Genomic DNA, 20,843 nt, shown 5'->3' with positions numbered 1-20,843 from the left:
CAATCTAAAGTGAATACTAATAACAAACTTCGAGGTAATTTTTTAAAAAGAATAAAGCATCTTTATATGTTAATGGCCTATGTTCATTGGTAAAGGAATCGTTATTAGTTTATGATGCTATTATTTAAAGATATGATGGGTATATTTTGGACCCAATCACCTATTTCCAATGCTCTGGCAAGCAAGTAAAAGTTGCCTATAGAGAATGTGAGACATAAACTTGGCTGGTGGATCTTATCAGACCTTCTATTTACAACTCAATCCTCTAATTTGTCTGCTCTCAAAAGTCCTGCTGAAGCCAAGGGGAAAATGCACACAGACCAGTCTCAAGGACCCTAAGCAGGAGACATCACTGGGGACGGTAGGTTCAAAGCAGTTGCAAAACCTGCCTTAACAAATACCATCTCAGGAAAATAACTAAAAACAAAGACTTGCCATGCTAACAAGAAGATGAAAGCAATACTGTGTTCCTGTGAGAGAGTTTAGAATTAAGCATATTTTTGTCAATTGGGTAAAAAGTTTTACTGTTTGTGAAATGGTGAATGAGATCATCTCAAGTACCTCAACGGTAGCACCAACATTTTGAGAAATTCAAATAGGAGCATGGTATTAACAATGTTTCGTGTGATAGAGCACATTTCCAGACACCATCTCAGTCATCTGCACGAATAACACGTTGAAGGAGAACTGTCTCTCAACCAGGAAAAAACCCAACACACCCACATTAAGTTGAGTCATCAGAGACAAATCTTTAACCGCTCAGGCATTTTAAGTGGCTGAAAATGACATCAGATTCCCAAAATAATCAGTCAAGACGGATTTATGAAACTTCATTGATACAAGCTTAATGATATCTAGGTTTATGTTAATAGACTTTTAAAGAACAATCCCTGTGTTTTTAAGTTAATGATGGTTTTCTCTAACATACTAGAGACAAAGTACGATGAGGAGGGTCATCTTAAAAACTTAAAATCAGGCCAGGCGCAGTGGCTCACGCCTGTAATCCCAGCCGAGACAGGTGGATCACGAGGTCAGGAGTTCGAGACCAGCCTGGCCAACATGGTGAAACCCCATCTCTACTAAAAATACAAAAACTAGCTGGGTGTGGTGGTGCATGCCCGTAGTCCCAGCTACTCAGGAGGCTGAGGCAGGAGAATCACTTGAACCCAGGAGGCGGAGGTTGCAGTGAGCCAAGATCGCACCACTGCACTCCAGCCTGGGCGACAGAGTGAGACCCTGTCTAAAAATAAATAAATAAATAAATAAATAAAAATTAAAATCATGAATTAAAAAATGTAAAACAATGAAATGACGGGGGTTTTTGGACACCTGCAAAGGAAACGACTGTGCTCAGTGATAGCTGCCATTTTAGGAAATCCAGTAAGAAGTCCAAACAGAGAAAAGCTAAGATGTTCAGAATGCTATTTTTAAATGCGACCTTTCTTTCCTCCATCTCTGATATTAACATTCGAACAAGACAAAAGGCGATTGGAGGAGCTGTATGACCACCTGGCTGCCGTGAGACATAGTTGAATCCTCAGTTATTGTTGACAACTAAACGGCCTTTGTGGGAGCAGGGCAGGCAGCTGGTGGTGGTCCCAGAGGAGCCCTGAGCTCGCACAGGAGTACCCGAGGCAGATCCTGCCATCCGCTCAGGCTGTGACGATGGCCGCGAACACCCCTTGTATTGACAAAGTAGAAAGAAGAAGTAGAGCAGGGGAATTCTTCCCTTAAATTCACTTTTGAAAATAGGATATACTCTATAAAGGAAATGCATATGTAAATGTGTTATTAGAGGCCTTGTGTCCCTTAATTTAAAATTAGAAATCTCATTTTGATTATTTGCAAGAATATTTTCTCTAATTCCAGACTTTGCTTTTATAGCAAATGTAACAGGGATTGGCTTGTTGGGCTTGGTGAACTTCAGCATTAGTTAAACATTTTGCTAATCTCTCTGCATGTCGGTTGGAAATGTTGATCCTTTCTAGATGGGTCCTTGGTCCCAGGGCATGCTCTCCTGTGCTCAGAGCCTTCTGCAAAGACTCTGCCGCCCCTGGTACACCTCATTAGGACCAGCTTCCTAAGGTTTAGTGAGGCTAAACGCTTCCCCAGTGCCCCATCCATACTGCTGCAACCTATTTGTTTTGCTTCTCACCTCAGGATCAGCTCGCCTGTGCCTTCCAACACGACAATTAGCTAATTTAATAAATCTAATGTGCCGCTGAGACAGACTCATAGGAGGGGCCCTACCATTGCCTCTGGGTTTTTTGTTTTTCTCCTAGGATCTTCTTTTCCTCATAAAATCTGAATTTTAATAATACATTCTAGAGGAAATGCGCTCACTTCTATTTCTGAAATGGCAAATAAATTTCATTTTTTGAGCCAGCTTTGATTGACTGAGATGGCTATGGCGTGGATTCCGAAGTCTAGTCTAGGTGTTTTGGGAAAGAGTTTTGTGATTGATTAGTGACGTCACCATAGGTAGAGGAATGGGCACCATATATAGGCTAACCTTGCTCTATTTAATAGAGCTAAGGCTAATGGTAAGTAGCTCCCCAGTGTGTTAGCACGTTAGCTCACAATTTTACTAATTTCAGGGTACCAACAGTTTTAACACTTTATATATATATATACACACACATATATATATGTATATATATGTATATATATAAGTATATATGTGTGTGTATATGTATATATACGTATATATGTGTATATACGTATATACACGTATATATACGTATATATGTGTATATACGTATATACACGTATATATACGTATATATGTGTATATACGTATATACACGTATATATACGTATATATGTGTATATACGTATATACACGTATATATACGTATATATGTGTGTATATACGTATATACACACACAGATATATGTATATATAATATAAAGTATTATACTGTAGTACTTTATAATATATAAGTATTACATATAGCACATAAAGCATTCTATACATAATAATTATAGTTCTATAGTTCTCTATATATTATATAGAGAGTACTTTACTCACAGAGAAAGATTATGTCCTTCATTCAAATGAAAATATAAATGTAGACAAAATTTGACTTCTACTGGTCAGCTTCAGAGTGTTCCATGAATCACATCCATGTCACTTGGAGAAGCTGATCCCACAGACCCTCTCTGAGCCCCAGAGCTTTTCTTCCCAGAGGAGTTTCTTTCAGTTCCAGGCTGGTCCCTAGAAGTCCTTGATTTGTTGACTTTACCATCAGAGGAGAAAGGGAGGCCTGGATTAGTAAGCGGTGCTCAGGGAACAAGGGACAAGTGTAGGAAAGAAAAACATTTTGGAATCAGGACAAGTGTTCAGTGGTTCTAAAGTAATGGTACTGATATTCTTCTGTCACTGGAAGCTCTTCTCTGATGGCAGTTGCAATGTGCATTGAACAAAGGTAACATAAATTCATAAGGCAAGGGCCTCCCAAGGAAACTCATTTGGAAAAGGACACTTATTTGATTGTTCTAAGCTTTACTGCATCTGCTAGGAAAAACACGCCAGTGTTAGTGTAGTCATAAATTTAATCCTTACACATTATTTTGAAAAACACAGGAAAAAACTCCAAAACTTCATTTCAGTGGCAGCAGCAGCCTGGTATAAGCCAAAGTCTTGGGCTCAAGACTGAGATTGGAAGACTTGGGATGCAGTTTCGGAATTAAACACACCCATTTGTTTCTTTGAATGCTCGCCATTCATTCAAGGGGAAAAGTGGAGAATTGTGATATAATGGACAAGTAAATTGATGGCAGGGGTTTTTCGTTTTTGTTTTTGTTTTTGTTTTGTTTTGTTTTGTTTTGAGAGGCTGAGGTGACTAAAATACCATGAAAGTGCAAGGTGAAACGGGCTCTAAAAAAAAAGATGGATGCTTGCTACAGGAAAATTTACAAAAAGAAAAGATTCAAATAAAACAGATATTTTTAGGCCTGTCATGAAAAACATTACTGAAGTGCTTCTGTATTTCCTTACAGTTATTCCCAATATTCCCTTCATCTAATGAAGTTCCTCCAAATTTCATGATCCTTGTGACAATCCACCCCAGACTATGGTGAGAGACCCAGAGCTGCAGCAGTTTTGGTTGTGGTTATTCTGACATTGACCCGAAGGGAGCAAGAATGTTTCTCAGGAGGTAAGAAATTGCTAAAGAAAACTTTAAAATGATCCAAAAAGTGTTATCCACCACATGTTGCAGGGTATGGTCCATAAAATGTGAGTTTCTTTCTCTCTTGTTTCTCCAGACTTTAGTGAAAGCTTTAGCTTCTAGGATGCTTTGAGGCCATGCCTGGTATCCATGGCAGGTCAGACAATTCCGGCGTTCTTTACGTCCATCCCTTTGGTTCAGAATGCGTGGTCTTCTAGTAATGTAATATTCCTACATTCCATAATTATATTGCTATTTGCTGAAATTTGAGCTGATTTCAGAAGGATAAGGAAATATTAAGTACTGCCTGGAATTAGTGAAGATTTGTGTATGGAAGCCCAGGAGAGGAAAAGTGCTAAAGCAGGAGGCAATATTCTGTGAGTTCTGGACTAGAAAGGCCAGGGCGATTGTTCTAACTATCTAATGATGATCACAAATCACCTCATGACTTGATGGTGCAAAATAACCATTTGTTATGCTCACAGAGTTTAAGGGCCAATAATTCAGACAGGACACAGTGGAGATTGCTTGTCTCTGTTCTGTGATCTCTGGGGCCTTAATTGGCTGACATGAAGGCTGGGGACTGAAATAATCTGAAACCTTGTCATTCATATGTTTGCAGTTGATGCCGGCTGTCGGTTGGGGGCCTCAGTTCTTCTCTATCTAGGTCTCTCCATGAAGTCTCTTTGAATGGGCTTAGTCTGTGATTCCCCATAACACACTGGTTTATTTCTCCAAATAGGTGTCCGCAAACAAGGGGCTAGAGGGGAATCTATATATTTTTAAATATGACCTATCCTTGAAAGTCACGCAGCATCACCTCTGCCTTAATCTATTGTTTGCAGCAGTCATGATCCTGCCCAGGCTCAAAGGAAAGCTGAATAGACTCCACCTCTTGATGGAGGGTAGCCAGATTCTGAAAGAGCATGGGTTTGGAAATAGTATTCGACCCTTTTTGGAAAATGCAATGCAGCAGTAATTGGAAGGCAGGAGCCAGTGGAAAATTAGCTTGAAATGAAGCTGCCGAGGTGGGCAGGGATTGGATTCTACAGACTATTGTATGCTACATTAAGAATCTTGGCCTTTTTTCTAAAGCACATGGAGAGTCATCAAGAAGTGTAGGCATGGGAGTATCAGACTATAATTTGCTACAGCTCAGATGATGGACTGGAGTGAAGCAAAATTGGATGTGGGGAATCCAGTTAGGAAATTTTGGTGATCAGAGTTGTGGTGAGATACAGGGAGAAATGAATGAATATAAGAAATAAATAGGAAGTAAAATCAAGTGGATCTGGATATGGGAAATGAAAGAGACAGGGGTGTAAAGAATGACTCTCAATGTCTGGGATGTGCAACTGTGAGTATGATGGTGTCCATCAGTAAGGTAGGGAAAATTGGAGGGGCATCAGGGTTTGAAGTAGAAATATAATGAGTTCAGTTTTGGGCTTTAGAGAAATATGAGTGGACACTTTCAAGTGTGCAGTAGAATACATGGAGCTGGACTTCCAAGAAAAGGTCAGGGCTGGAGATACGCATTTGAGAGTCATCCAAGTATAGTTAGTAACTGTAGCCACTGGCATGGATGGAATTTTCTTGGGAGACTGTAGACATTTAATCTAGCATGTTGACTGAATACAGAGGATAGTTTCTGCAAAGCAGCTGGAGAAGATGCAACTGAGAAGCTAGAGGGAAATTGAAGAGAATGATGTCACAGAAGCCCAGAGAAAGAGTGGTGGAGCCAGGTAACTGCTGATGGCATAGAATGCATCTAACAGTTCACATGAACTCTAAACTTGTTCCTTGGATTTAATGACTTCTGTGATGAAGACTCAACTTCTTAGCATGACATATAGGACCTTGCTAAGGAAACTTTTAAGGTTTTATTTTTGTTTTTAACCTTCTAATATTTTTCACTAAAAATAAAATAGGAATTATAAAAAGGTATTAATTTTATAAAGCATAATACCTTGCTGTATAAAACACAATATTATTTATTCCACTAAAGGTATCAGAAAATAAGGGAGAGAACATTTCAAAATAGAATTGGATGTCAGGACTTTACTCAGGAACATAATCCATACGAATCCCATTTTTTCTTTGAAAAATCAGAGTTATTTTAACTCACAGCACTTTTTATAGCACATCTATTATAATTATTTATTTGTAAATCAAATTTCTGTATATATTGGAATATGTATAATTATATATGTAATATATATGAAAATAAAAAATATTATTCAAATGTATTCTGACAGTTTCTCTGAATCACATATCTGTTTCCAATTGTCAGTTTTTAATATGTTTTCATGTAGAGACTTGTATGTACAAATGTATATATGTATGCATGCAGATGGCCTGTTAAGCTTAATGTGACTGTTTTCTTTTTCAGAATAAAATTCAATTTACTAGTCCTAAACTGAAGAGAAGAACAAAGTAATGCTTCATTATACTTGTATAAATAGCTGTATTTTATCAAGACTAAAATATTTTTGGGGGGCGGGGCCAAGATGGCCGACTAGAAGCAACAGCATTAGGAGGCTCTCATGGAAAAAAGCCATAATAAGTGTGTGAATATTTCACTGGCAACCAAAGTATCCAGGTTCACTCATCAGAACTGACTAGAAAGCTGGCGGGACCCACGGAGAGAAGGAAGAGCAGTGTGGTGTGGTGGCCCACCTGAGAGCCACATGGGAAAGGGGAACCCCCTCCCCCCAGCCAAGGGAGGCGGTGAGTGGGCACTCTACGCAGCTGGGGAAACTGCTTTTTCCACGGAACTGTGTAATCCACGGATAGGAAGATCCTACTCGCGAACCCAGGCCACCGGGGCCTAGCATCCCAACCCCAGAATGTGCAGATTTTTACAGCCTCTCAGCTGGAATCTGGTTAAGCCAACCGAACTCCCAGGGGGAGGGGCAACCAGCACCAGCTGTGGCTGCCTGGGGTCTAAGCCATTTAAGCTCCTTGGAGGAGGGGGCAGTAGCCAGCACTGGGACTCCAAACACCTAAGCTCCTTGGGCAGGGGAAGGGCAGCACCCATTTCTATAGCTCCAGGCTGCGCTTTTCCCCTGCTGGAGCCAGGGAGGCTGGACAGCTTGGTCCCAAGACTTGTCCCCACAGCCCAACGCACGGGCTGTGGCAGTCTGTGGCCAGAGTGCATCTTCAGGTCTAACCCTGACCCATCCTTCCTCAGTGGGTGGGGCTTATCTGCAGGCTCTCCAATAACTCCAGCCAGAGGCTCAGGGACAGAATTCGGATGTCCCAGGACCTGAGGCCCTAGGGGGAGGGGTGGCAGCAGTCTCTGCATACCAGGAGAGCCTCCTGGTAGTTCTGAGGAATCTGGGCAGCCTTGATAAGTGGGTTTCCCTCCAGCGAAACACACTGTCTCCACCAAGGGACAAAGTGCTTCATTAAACAGGTCCTGCTCCCCATGCCACCCAACTGGATGAGACCCTCCAACAGGGGTTGTCAGACACCCTATACAGGAGCAATCCTACTGGCATCAGGTTGGTGCCCCTTGAGGTCAGAGGTCCCAGAAGAAGGAGGAGATACCCATCTTTGCTACTCTCCAGCCTCCTTGAGTGACATCTCCAGGCACAGGAGCAAATCAGATGGATAGGGCCTGAAGTGAACCCCCAGCAAACTGCAGCAGCCCTAAAGAAGAGGGACCTGACTATTGAAAGAAAAACAAACAAGCAGAAAGCAGTAACAATAGCATCATCAACAACAAAAACAAAAAGTCCCCACAAAAACACCATCCAAGGGTCAGCAGCCTCAAAGGCCGAAACTAGACAAACTCACAAAGATGAGAAAGAATTAATGAAAAAATGCTGAAAACCCAAAAGGCCAGAGTGCCCCTTCTCCTCCAAATGATCGCAACATCTCTCCATCAAGGGCGCAGAACTGGAGGATCAGATGGACAAATTGACAGAAGTAGGCTTCAGAAGATGGGTAATAAAAAACTATGATGAGTTAAAGGAGCATGTTCAACCCAATACAAAGAAGCTAAGAACCTTGATAAAAGGTCAGAGGAATGGCTAGCTAGAATGAGAGGAACATAAACAACTTGATGGAGCTGAAAAACATAGCACGAGAATTTCAGGAAGCATACACAAGTATCAACAGTCGAATAGACCAAGCAGAAGAAAGGATATCAGAGTTTGAAGACCAGCTTCCTGAAATAAGACATGCAGACAAGAATAGAGAAAAAAGAAAGACAAGGAATGAGCAAAGCCTCCAAGAAATATGGGACTTCATAAAAAGATCGAACCTACGATTGATTGGAGTACCAGAAGGAGATGGGGAGAATGGAAACAAGCTGGAAAAACACACTATAGGATATTATCCAGGAGAACTTCGCCAGCCTAGCAAGACAGGAAAATTCAGGAAATTTTGCAAATTCAGGAAAACAGAGGACTCCATTAAGATACTCCACGAGAAGATCAACCCCAAGACACATAATCATCAAATTCTCCAAGGTTGAAATGAAGGAAAAACTGTTAAGGGCAGCCAGAGAGAAAGGCCAGGTCACTTACAAAGGGAAGCCCATCAGACTAACAGCAGACCTCTCAGCAGAAACTCTACAAGCCAGAAGAGATTGGGGGCCAATATTCAACATTCTTAAAGAAAAGAATTTTTAACCCAGAATTTCATATCCAGCCAAACTAAGCTTCATAAGCAAAGGAGAAATAAAACCTCTCCAGACAGGCAAATGCTGGGGGATTTTGTTACCACCAGGTCTGGCCTGCAAGAGCTCCTGAAAGAAGCATTAAATATGGAAAGGAAAAACCAGTAGCAGCCACTGCAAAAACACACCAAAATATAAAGACCAATGACACTACAAAGAAACTGTATCAACTAGTGTGCAAAATAACCAAATAGCGTCACGATGACAGGATCAAATTCACAAATAACAATACTAACCTTAAATGTAAATGGGCTAAATGCCCCAATTAAAAGACACAGACTGGCAAATTGGATAAGATGTCAAGACCCATTGGTGCGCTGTATCTAGGAGACCCCTCTTACATGCAAAGACACACATAGGCTCAACATAAAGGGATGGAGGAAAATTTACCAAGCAAATGGAAAACAAAATAAAGCAGGGGTTGCAATCCTAGTCCCTGAAAAAACAGACTTTAAACCAACAAAGATCAAAAAAGACAAAGAAAGACATTATGTAATGGTAAAGGGATCAATGAAACAAGAAGAGCTAACTATCCTAAATATATATGCACCCAATACAGGAGCACCCAGATTCATAAAACAGGTTCTTAGAGACCTACAAAGAGACTTAGACTCCCACATAATAATAGTGGGAGACTTTAACACCCCACTGTCAGTATTAGATCAGCGAGACAAAAAATTAACAAGGATATTCAGGACTTGAACTTAGCTCTGTATCAAGTGGACCTAGTAGACGTCTACAGAACTCTCTACCCCAAATCAACAGAATATACATTCTTCTCAGTGTCATATGGCACTTATTCTAAAATCAACCACATAATTGAAAGTAAACACTCCTCAGTAAATGCAGAAGAACTGAAATCATAACAAAGAGTCTCCCAAACCACAGTGCAATCAAATTAGAACTCAGGATTAAGAAACTCACTCAAAACCACACAATTTCATGGAAATTGAACAACCTGCTCCTGAATGACTCCTGGGTAAATGATGAAATTAAGGCAGACATCAAGAAGTTCTTTGAAACCAATGAGAACAAAGAGACAACGTACTAGAATCTCTGGGACACAGCTAAAGCAGTATTAAGACAGAAACTTATAGTACTAAATGCCCACAGAAGAAAGCTAGAAGAATCTCAAATTGACACTGTAACATCACAATTAAAAGAGCCAGAGAGGCAAGAGTAAACTAATCCAAAAGCTAGCAGAAGATACGATAACTAAGATCAAAGAAGAATTGAAAGAGATAGAAACACGAAAAAAACCTTCAAAAAATCAATGCATCCAGGAGCTGTTTTTTTTTGAAAAAATTAACAAAACATGTAGCTTGCTAGCTAGACTAATAAAGAAGAAAAGAGAGAAGAATCAAATAGACATAATAAGAAATGATAAAGGGGATATCACCACTGATGCCACAGAAATACAAACTACCATCAGAGAATACTAAAAACACCTCTAGGCAAAGAAACTAGAAAATCTAGAAGAAATGTATAAATTCTTGGATGCATACAACCTACCAAGACTAAGCCTGCAAGAAGGTGAATCTCTGAAGAGGCCAATAACAAGCTCTGAAACTGAGGCCGTAATTAATCACCTACCAACCAAAAAAGCCCAGGACCAGACAGATTCACAGCTGAATTCCACCAGAAAATACAAAAAGGAGCTGGTACCACTTCTTGTGAAACTGTTCCAAAAAACTGAAAAGGAGGGAGTCAATAAACAGTTATTGGTGGGACATATCTTAAAATAATAAAAGCTATTTATGACAAACTCACAGCCAATATTATATTGAATGGGAAAAAGCTGGAAGCATTCCCTTTGAAAACCGGTACAAGACAAGGATGCCCTCTGTCACCACTCCTACTCAACATAGTCTTGGAAGTACTGGCCAGGGCAATCAGGCAAGAGAAGAAATAAAGGATATTCAAATAGGAAAAGAGGAAGTCAAGTTGTCTCTGCTGGCAGGCTACATGATTTTATGTTTAGAAAACCCCATTGTCTCAGCCCAAAAACTTGAACTGATAAGCAACTTCAGCAAAGTCTCCGGATACAAAATCAATGTGCAGAAATCAGAAGCATTCCTTTACACCACCAATAGGCAAGCAGAGAGCCAAATCAGGAATGAACTCCCATTCACATTTACTACAAAGAGAGTAAAACACCTAGGAATACAGGTAACAAGGGATGTGAGGGACCTCTTCAAGGAGAACTACAAACCACTGCTCAAGGAAGTCAGAGAGGAAACAAATATATGGAAAAACATTCCATCCTCAGGGATAGGAAGAATCAATATCATGAAAATGGCCATACTGCCCGAAGTAATTTATAGATTCAATGCTATTCCCATCAAACTACCATTGACATTCTTCACAGAATTAGAAAAAACTATTTTAAATTTCATATGGAATCAAAGAAGAACCTGTATAGCCAAGACAATCCTAAGCAAAAAGAGAAAAGCTGGAGACATCACGCTACCTGACTTCAAACTATACTACAAGTCTACAGTAGCCAAAACAGTATGGTACTGGTACCAAAACAGACATATAGATGAAAGGAGCAGAACAGAGACCTCAGAAATAACACCACACATCTACAACCATCTGATCTTTGACAAACCTGACAAAAACAAGCAATGGAGAAAGGATCTCCCATTCAGTAAATGGTGCTGGGAAAACTGGCTACCCCTATGCAGAAAACTGAAACCGGACCCCTTCCTTACATCTTATACAAAAATTAACACAAGCTGAATTAAAGACTTAAATGTAAAACCCAAAACCATAAATATCCTAGAAGAAAACCTAGGCAATACCATTCAGGACATAGGCATGGGCAAAGACTTCATGACAAAAATGCCAAAAGCAATTGCAACAAAAGCCAAAATTAGCAAATGGGATTTAATTAAACTAAAGAGCTTCAGCACAGCAAAAGAATCTGTCATCAGAGTGAATAGGCAACCTACAGAATGGGAGAAAATTTTTGCAATCTACCCGTCTGACAAAGGTCTAATAACCAGAATTTACAAGGAACGTAAACATATTTACAAGAAGAAAACAACCCCATCAAGAAGGGGGTAAAGGATATGAAGAGACACTTCTCAAAAGAAGACATTTACATGGTCAACAAACATGAGAAAAACTCAACATCACTGATCATCAGAGAAGTGCAAATCAAAACCACAATGAGATACCATCTCACGCCAGTCAGAATGGTGATTATTAAAAAGTCAGGAAATAATAGATGCTGGTGAGGCTGTGAAGAAATAGGAATGCTTTTACACTGTTGGTGGGGATGTAAATTAGTTCAACCATTGTGGAAGGCAGTATGGCGATTCCTCAAGGATTTAGAACCAGAAATACCATTTGACCTAGCAATCCCCTTACTGGGTATATACCCAAAGGAATATAAATCATCCTACTATAAAGACACATGCACACGTATGTTTATTATAGCACTATTTGCAATAGCAAAGACATGGAACCAACCCAAATGCCTATCAATGATAGGCTAGATAAAGAAAATGTGGTACACCCATAGTATACACCATGTAATACTATGCAGCCATGAAAAGGAATGAGATCATGTCCTTTGCAGGAACATGGATGAAGCTGGAAGCCATCATCCTCAGCAAACTAACATAGGAACAGAAAACCAAACACCGCATGTTTTCACTCATAAGTGGGAGTTGAACATTGAGAACACATGGTCACATAAAGGGGAACAACACACACCAGGGCTTGTTGGGGGGTTGGGGGTGAGGCGAGGGAAATTAAAGAACGTGTCAATAGGTGCAGCAAACCACCATGGCACATGTATACCTATGTAATAAGCCTGCACGTTCTGTACATATATCCTGTTTTGTTTTGTTTTGTTTTTTTAGAAGAAATAAAGAAAAAAATACTTTTAACATAAGCCAACTACAATATGGTTACACATCCAATATTCTTCATATCTCTTTACTTACAAAAATGAATGTTTTTCCCCATTGGCATTAAGAGAGTGAGAATAAGAAAACAAGTTAAGTCTTGAAAGGCCTGAAGATTTATTTTTTTTTTTAGCATTCATGAATGAATTAGCTAAATAAAATTATATGATATATTGACAATATTTATTGGAACATGAAACTTACACACAGGGAAATATTTTTCAAATTCAAAGAACTATAAGACTAAAAGTTATTTTAAAAGAATTGCATATAGCAAGAAAAGAGTGTAGGCTGGTAAATCTAATCCTTGCTTTATAAAAAGTTGAAGTCTTTGACATGTGTAGTGACTGGTAAACATTAGTGAGATATAATTTCCCTTGTCAGTGTCACAATGTTGACAACCTGAAGCTCACAATGTGTAAATAACAAGAAAACAAAGTCAATATCATGTCCGTTTTGCATGTAACAGTCAAGCATCTGCTTGCAAAAAAATCAAATCATTACGGGAGAAGCTACAATGTTGTCCAAATTTTACTTAGTTTTAAATATATTCTTATAATTAATTATGAGGTATTTTGTCAAAATGACTAATATGTATATATGTTTACTTAGTTTCAAGCTGGTTACCCATGGGGTATAATATATTAAGTCTAATTTTATTTCCAAACCTTTGTATTGGGTCAGCTGACTTCAGGTCATTTGGAAAGAAACACTGGTTGCACACTTCGATCACAGTATTTTAAACTGCAAGAAAATGTTAGTAGCCCACCTGCTTATACTAATTTATATACAGTGTTGTTTTCCAAGAATTCTGAGAAGATGGACATAAAATATAATTGTAATTAGAGAGATGCTGAACTACAAGAAAGTAAATGTGGGTACTTAGTCATCAAGAATACCCGCTGATTCCTAGGTAAAGCTGATACTTAACTTACCTGCATGCTGTGCATCTACTATTTGTATTTCCAGAAATACCCATTATTCAAGTCACTAGTGGCCATCCAATTAAAAAAATGATCAATATATCTCACTTGAACAAGCATAATACGTCAGTTGATCTGGTGACAGTTATATACAAGTTAGTTGGCATAAAGGTCTACTACACAAAAAAATTCAAAGTCAAGAGTCAAGGCCGATTTGAGCTTTCGTATAAAGGCCGTGTTTTAGGACATAAGGTAAAGGTATGTGTTGGTTGCTTAAGGGAAAAATATGATGCAGAAGTATGGATGTGAATGCAGGTCTTCTTTCAGAAAGAATGGGTGGTCTATAGCCTACAGGTATGAATAGCAAAAAGCTTTGCCTCAATGTTTTATTATTAGTATTCTTAAATAAGGGCAGGAGTAACAGTTTTTTGAGGTCCACTTGGGAGTTTGTTGATTTTAAGAAGTTCATCAGGGATACTGGGATTCAATAGCAGACACAAAGTTAAGTTTGGAATCATGGAATCAGATTAACAGGTAGGAACCTGGTCTTATTGGACGGAAGCAGGACCTAACTACTAGTGAAAGGCAGTATTACCATCACAGGAGAACCAACCGAGAATGTGGAGTTCTTGACTAAAGTGAGCCTCTTCGTTCCTCCAGCCTAAGCCTAGACTTAATGAAGAGTCTGAGGAAAGGTTAGATTTAATTCAACTGGGGAAATGAGGAAATGGGGAAGGTGCAAGGAGCCACAAGGACTTTTACTGACAATCACCTAAAGGGAGAAGCTCTTTCTCTCTCTCTCTCTCCCCTGTGATTATCTGAGCCCCTGGTCTTCATCAACTCTGACTTGTTTCATGGGCATCCCAGGTGCTAGTGAAAGACCAATAAATGAGTTCAAGTAAACATGCTTTCTGTCTTGGAGAAAAACTTCTGTCTATTTTTGAAAGAGTTTCCTTCTGGCAGAGATCTAATATAAATGGGATTGAGGTTGCTTTCAAGGCATTTATATATTTCTCCTATAATACAAAAGAGAATATGATTAACTTTTCTCCTCAATAAGTCGAAAACCAAGGCAACAAGTTCAATTGAAATTTGGGAAAACATTAATGACATTTAAAGCCTTTTCAAAAAGCTTCTTTATTGGTATGTGATGGTTATAGTATTATAAACTTCATACAAGTTCCTATGCTGAATGATCTATGGAATTTATAAAGTACCAATTGTTGAACCAATCAACTTGATCTCACTTTTTCCTTTCTTCATTTTAGAAATACCTTAGGTCTCTCATATAGAATAAAATCCACCTAAATAGTCTTAGAAAAAAGGCCATTTTTCTCTTTTTATGTGTTGCTTATCTCTGAATTTTTAACAAGTCTAAATATATGTGCCAACATTCTTGAAAAGAACTCAATGCACTTTAGAGATACACATCTGCATTCTCTAAGTGCACAAGTCGCTCCTCAAGTACCTGCCAGTGTGATTATATATTTTTTTTCAGAACAACTATGCAGCAAAAGTAGTAGTTGATGGAAGCTATAATTTACTAAGTGGTACCATATTGGTCTGAAAGAGTCATTATAGCTTCTAAAAGAAACACCCTTCACAAGGAAATTTTGGTTTCTTATGTTGTTTGGTTAGTTACCGAACAGTAACAGTGTGATATACCACTTTCAAGTGGAGGCAGGTTCCATTTAATAAACAGAAAAACTGAAGCCCAGAGAAATGCACCCACATTCAGCATTTATGCATAGATAGAGAGCAAGGAACAGAGACCACTTCTTTTTATGCCAAGACAAATGAGAATTTCGAAAGACCACCCACATTTGCTAACTATGTTATTTTGTTTCTTCGATGTGCAGCCAATTTTGTAGAGTTTTTTTTATATTGAAAAACACCAAGACCCATTAAGCTAGAGAAAATATTTTATATTTGAACTACCTAATGCTGAACTGGTTGACCGCAAACAGGTTATATAACAGGATGAAAGTGAGACACTTTAGATAGGGATTTGAATACAAATACCTTGGTGGGTGGTGGTGGTGAAGGTAGTTTTGAAGCTTTAGAACAAATAAGATTTTCTGGTTTGTTCTGTTCCGTGAATTATTAAAAAAAAAAAAAAAAAAGGAAAGAAAACTGCCTTTCTCTGCTTCGGCCAGGGCTTTAATTCTTCAAAACATTCCTGAGATTGCTCTTTTCAACTTTCATGTTCAAAATTATTATTTTAGACTTTCTTATTATATAATCAGCCACCGCTCAACTTATTCTCCCTAATCAACTTAAGATAATAGTCTTCTTTCTGGACTTAACAGATAGTTCTAACAAAGCCTAACATCGCTGACTTCTCTAATTCGGCAAATGTAAACCTTCATTTTTCCCAAATTGTAGACTCCTGTTTTCTTAGATGAAGCAAGAAATATTTTAGAGTCTCAAAATACATTGTTTCTTATGTATTTATTTTAATGCCTATATTTGTACTGGTTTAAACATTTTAAGGGTGGCCCTTGACCAACCATGGATTGGTACCTGGATATTGTGGGTTCATAATAAATAATCAATTGAAGCAAATATCTCTGACAGCAATATCACCTGAAAGCAAGACGAAATGCTTGCAAGGGATAAGTAGAGACCATCCTATAAATATCAGACGCAGTCACATCTAGGCGAATACTCCCCTGGAAAGTGCTTTTCCTGCTTGAGAATGGTTTCCTTTCAAAGGACAGGTTCTCAATGCTTTGGGAGAACCGATTCTTGGCTAGAGAAGGGCTGTGGTGATCAAGGAGGTCCCGGTGGTATAATTTTAGCTTTTGCAGAATTTTCCATTGCTTATTTTCAGCAATACTGCTATTTCATCATTTCAATGATTGCTCCCCCAACACTGACTGACGATTTTATTGGATGCAGAAAGGGCTGAGTTGGATTATATTTCACTGAACAGCTACACAGTCTGAGTAAAAGCAGTCTTTGGAAATGAAATAATCCCATCTAATTGACTACAGTGAAAAAGAAACAATAAAACCAGTTGATATGACGTAGAAAATCCAGCGCTAGAATGTAGACTAAATTTTCACCAAATTAAAATCTCTGAAGTCTATTGATAATTTTCATCAAATGGATTAAAATAACTATGGATGAAAATTTTCACAGGTTTGGAAGGTATGGAGTTTCTTATTATTTTATATTTAACATAAAGGTTAAACTCATTAAATACTTAATAAGCATAAAGTTTCTAGGAGTTAATGAATTGCTGCTCTTTTCCATAATGAACTTATATCAAAATTGGAGGACCTAGTTTGAGGTTGAAAATGAATTCTCGATATGTCAAATCCTGAATACAGCAATGTTCTAGTCACATTTCCATAATAACAAAACATCTTCATTAGATTTTGTTGCGAATGAAACTTATGGATGGGCTGTATTTTGAAAAGTGATATAGGCCATTTTAATATTGAAGAATCCTGGAGGTCTTCCCCTTCATTTTATGTCTGATGTGTTGGATGACATTTGGTAGCTCATGCCATGTTGTCACTTGTAGATGCAGATAATATAAACTCATATTTTTTCAGGAATGTTATGACACTAACTTTATTCCACGGAAGCACTGTATTCTCATTGCTTCACAAGTTTTGTATACACATAATATTCTTCCTCATCCCTATGAAGTCAACTAAATTGTCAATGGCAAAGTAGGCTGTCCTGCAACTTCCAAGAAATGGGTGGTAAAAATGTGTCGGGACAGGCAATACCTTAGGCCAGTCTCAGAACTTTGCCTGTGTGTCCTGGTTTCTTTGCACCATCTACTTATTGAACATTACAGGACAACTTGCCACTCTCTGGAGCACCTGCCTGGTCTTTAAGTCCTGACTTTTTCTTTTCACACTCCTGTCATCATTCACAAAGTCTCTTTTTAGTAGAAGAGAAATATGGAGCAGTAAATGAAATCAAGCATATCCTGTAACAGAAGGATGAGAGACAAGGTTGCTGGTGCCAGGAAAATCTGGCAATTGTGACAGGGGCTCAAAATCTGGAATTAAAGGGAAGGACTCAGGAAATCAAAATCAAGTCCTCAGAAACCAGAATAGCGACTAGCACTCAACCACCAGCCAAGAGCTCTGCTAGCTGCTTTACATGTAGTATTTCCAATTGTTCCAGGAGTGAATGATGTTTTATTTTGACCATTTTACATCTGAAAAAACCGGAGTTCAGAGAGGTTAAATGTCTTGCCTCAGCTCACAGAACTAATAATTGTTGGAGCTGGGAATTTGACCAGGGCAGTCTGATAAAATGCCTATATTCCAAGTAGTATGTTATCCTGCTTCAGGATACCTCTAGGGGGCCCAAGGCTTTGTCATAATAAGGAAGGAAAACATACAGTTATTGGAACTAGGGTGGGAAGTTCTAACAGGAATGGGTTAATGATGATTTAATGGCTGGAGAGGTTTGAGCTTTTCTGCTGAGGTCATTTGGAGAAATTGGTCTCAACATCTAGGGTGGGGTTGTGTTGGCAGGGCTGAATTAAGTAGTCCCCTAGAACCTCTGCAATTGAGGAATTACTCATTAGGGAACCAGACAGCTAATTGCATGCCATAAATTGTAGAAAGGCAGCACAGGCAGCTCAGTTAGGCTATTTGGGTACTGTTTGGTCTTGATACCTGGCTAGGGTACGGGGGAAACAATGTCTTTCTCTTAGGACATCTCGGAGTAAAAGACGGGTTTAGGTACAGGAGAGAACAAAGCCTAATTGCTCAGCTTTTGGAGCTTCCTTATTTATTCTTTCACTTGTTTCAGCGTTGGCCTCTGTAGGTGATGTTCACTAAATACTCCTTGTGGGCATGGTCCCTCTTAGGTTGGCAAAGTCATTACCAGTAGAGAACAAATCACACTCAATTAACACATGGATCAGTAGGCAGTCATCAGCTAATACAAAATTTGGATTCTGTGCATGATTTTAAAAAGGGTCATAAATTTGGAAATGACCATGACCCTCATCAGATGTTCATGAGAAAAGAAAACTCATTATATCTCACAAGTCACCAGCGATTAAAAGCATGTTAGTGGCAAACAGCAATATCGCACACAGAACTGTTGTGCAAACAAGTTGTCTCTTTTTTGGCTACCAATTCCTTTAACTATAAGAATCTAGAAGAATCTTTTTGTCCTGATTAGATTGTGAAATCTTATATAACTTTTCAATTAAAAGACAAAGCAGAGTAAATAAATCTAATTGTTTGAATAAGATTATAAATCCTGTTCTTGCCGCAATAAAGGAAGTTTGGCTTAATCCTTTTTTGTGCACTTGAAAGTAACATAGACCTTTTTTATTAGTTAGTCTTAAATCTCTGTGGAAGAGGGTGAGTGTTATTGTCTCCATTTTACAGATCAGCAAACTGAGGAACATAGAGCTGACGATGTACATTGCATCACATAATCTATCACCACAGCTTGTCCTGAAATTCCCAGCAATGCACCTTCAGCCTGTGGATTATCTCAGCGACACATTCTATCAGTCACTGACTTTACTCTTTACTACCATGTTTTTGGCAAAAATGCATCAATTCAGTTTCCCTCCTGCCTGGTGTTTTGATCGGGCCTTTCATGAAATGCAATAGATCTTTAACAGAGAGCCACACAACTAGGCATCTGTGTTCCTCTTGGGAGAACATGAGGCCAATATGATCTCATGATATTAAATAGAAACCTTCCTCTTGACAGCACTTCGGGAACATTGAATAAGTACATGTATGTACATACTCGCCCACCTCATTTAGGTGGTCCATGTTTTTCTTCTCCGTTGAAAGGTATCACACGTGCGCAGGCAGCCTCAGGCTTACGTACTGAGGACCGAATTACAAAAATAACCCATCAAGATAAAATGGCCACTATCATCTTTGCTGGGCTTGACACCAATAAAACCAACTATTTACGAATCAACTAGAGATGTTAGAAAGTCCATGATGTCTGAAGTGGAATAAGTGAAACAAACCTGAAAAGTAGAATATGGCTGATGTGCATAGTAAGTGTGACTCATCTCTAAGGTTGTCTTCTGCCTCTCCACAAAATCTGTAGACAGCCGAGCCCTAAAACTTTTACTTCACTATTGCAAGGGTTAAAATTGCATTAAATGATGATTTCTTTGCATCAAAGCTTACTGGTTGCACAGGAGGCTTAGGAAGACCATCAGTCATTCATTCATTGTGTGTTGCCCCATTATAATCCGCTCCTCAGAAGAGTCAGTCCAGACCAGCTGCTTCCCAGACAGTCTCCTTTCTCAGTCAATCCCACTACCATTGATCCAGTTTCTTAGACCTCGAACATAGTGGCCACCCTTGTTCCCGTATCCAGTACATCTTCAAGTTCTGCTGATCGTGATTTCTTTGTCTCCAAAATACACCCAAATCAGAGCACTTAAGTGCTGCTGGAATAACCTTGATCCAAGCCACAGTTGTCTCAGCTTAACTCTTTTATCACCTTCTAAACGGTGTCCCTGCAGTGCATTCTCCACTCACCTGACAGAATGATGGGAAAAAAGGAAATCAAATCAAGTCAGCACCTCTTCCCTAAAAGTGCTCCCCTGGCAACCAGTGCTCCTCTCCCTGGTTCCTGGTTCTCTCTATGTTCCCCCTTTCACTCTCTGCTTCAGCTGTCCTGGCATTCTTTTTGTTTCCTAAAACTGCTAGGCTCCCTGGGCTCTCAGAGTCCTTGTGCTTGATGTTTTCAGCTTGTAAGCGTTCCTCCTGGGTCTCAGCATGGCTGTCCATCATCCATTCCTGCTCACAGCCATCTGCTCCAGAGGTTTCCTGAACTCTCCTGGCTAAAGCTGTCCCCTTCTGTACTGTCTCTGCCCCCACCAGCCACTTCATCCTTCACTGTCTGCACAGCTTGGACGGCTGTCCACTTTTGTGTTTCTGTGCTTGTCTTTCCTCCCCCAGGAGAAGGTAAGCTTGAAGGTAATTTTTTTTTTTTTTTTTTAACCGTAGCGACCCTGGTTTCTCTAGTAGAAGTTGGACTATCCTAGGTGCTTGATCAATAGCGGTCAAGGCCAACCACCATTCCAATGCTTTCCTCTTAACACTCATCCACCATCATCTTCTCTGGGTTATTGAGTTTGCCTGAGGAGGAGGGGAGCCTATTTTAGAGTCTGGGGCTCTTG

The 20,843-nt window shown here is 39.2% G+C and overlaps 1 protein-coding gene across 7 annotated transcripts in view, besides 1 other annotated feature; it reads right to left on the bottom strand.

The window, feature by feature from the left end:
• TENM3 (teneurin transmembrane protein 3) overlaps positions 1–20,843 on the bottom strand; it is a 1,355,412-nt gene that overhangs the window by 786,203 nt on the left and 548,366 nt on the right. The gene's annotated exons all lie outside the window — the stretch shown is intronic.
• Positions 6,618–7,118: an enhancer, noted in NCBI's record as "H3K4me1 hESC enhancer chr4:182930857-182931357 (GRCh37/hg19 assembly coordinates)". NCBI's record gives its function as "activates a minimal SCP1, AML or CMV promoter by ChIP-STARR-seq in naive H9 embryonic stem cells {active_cell/tissue: H9 hESC(naive)}" and the evidence as "EXISTENCE:reporter gene assay evidence [ECO:0000049][PMID:30033119]".

Source organism: Homo sapiens, chromosome 4 (assembly GCF_000001405.40).
Source record: "Homo sapiens chromosome 4, GRCh38.p14 Primary Assembly".
NCBI lineage: Eukaryota > Metazoa > Chordata > Mammalia > Primates > Hominidae > Homo > Homo sapiens.
The sequence above is the reverse complement of the archived record's forward strand: the minus strand, read 5'-3'. Positions and strand labels throughout refer to the sequence as shown.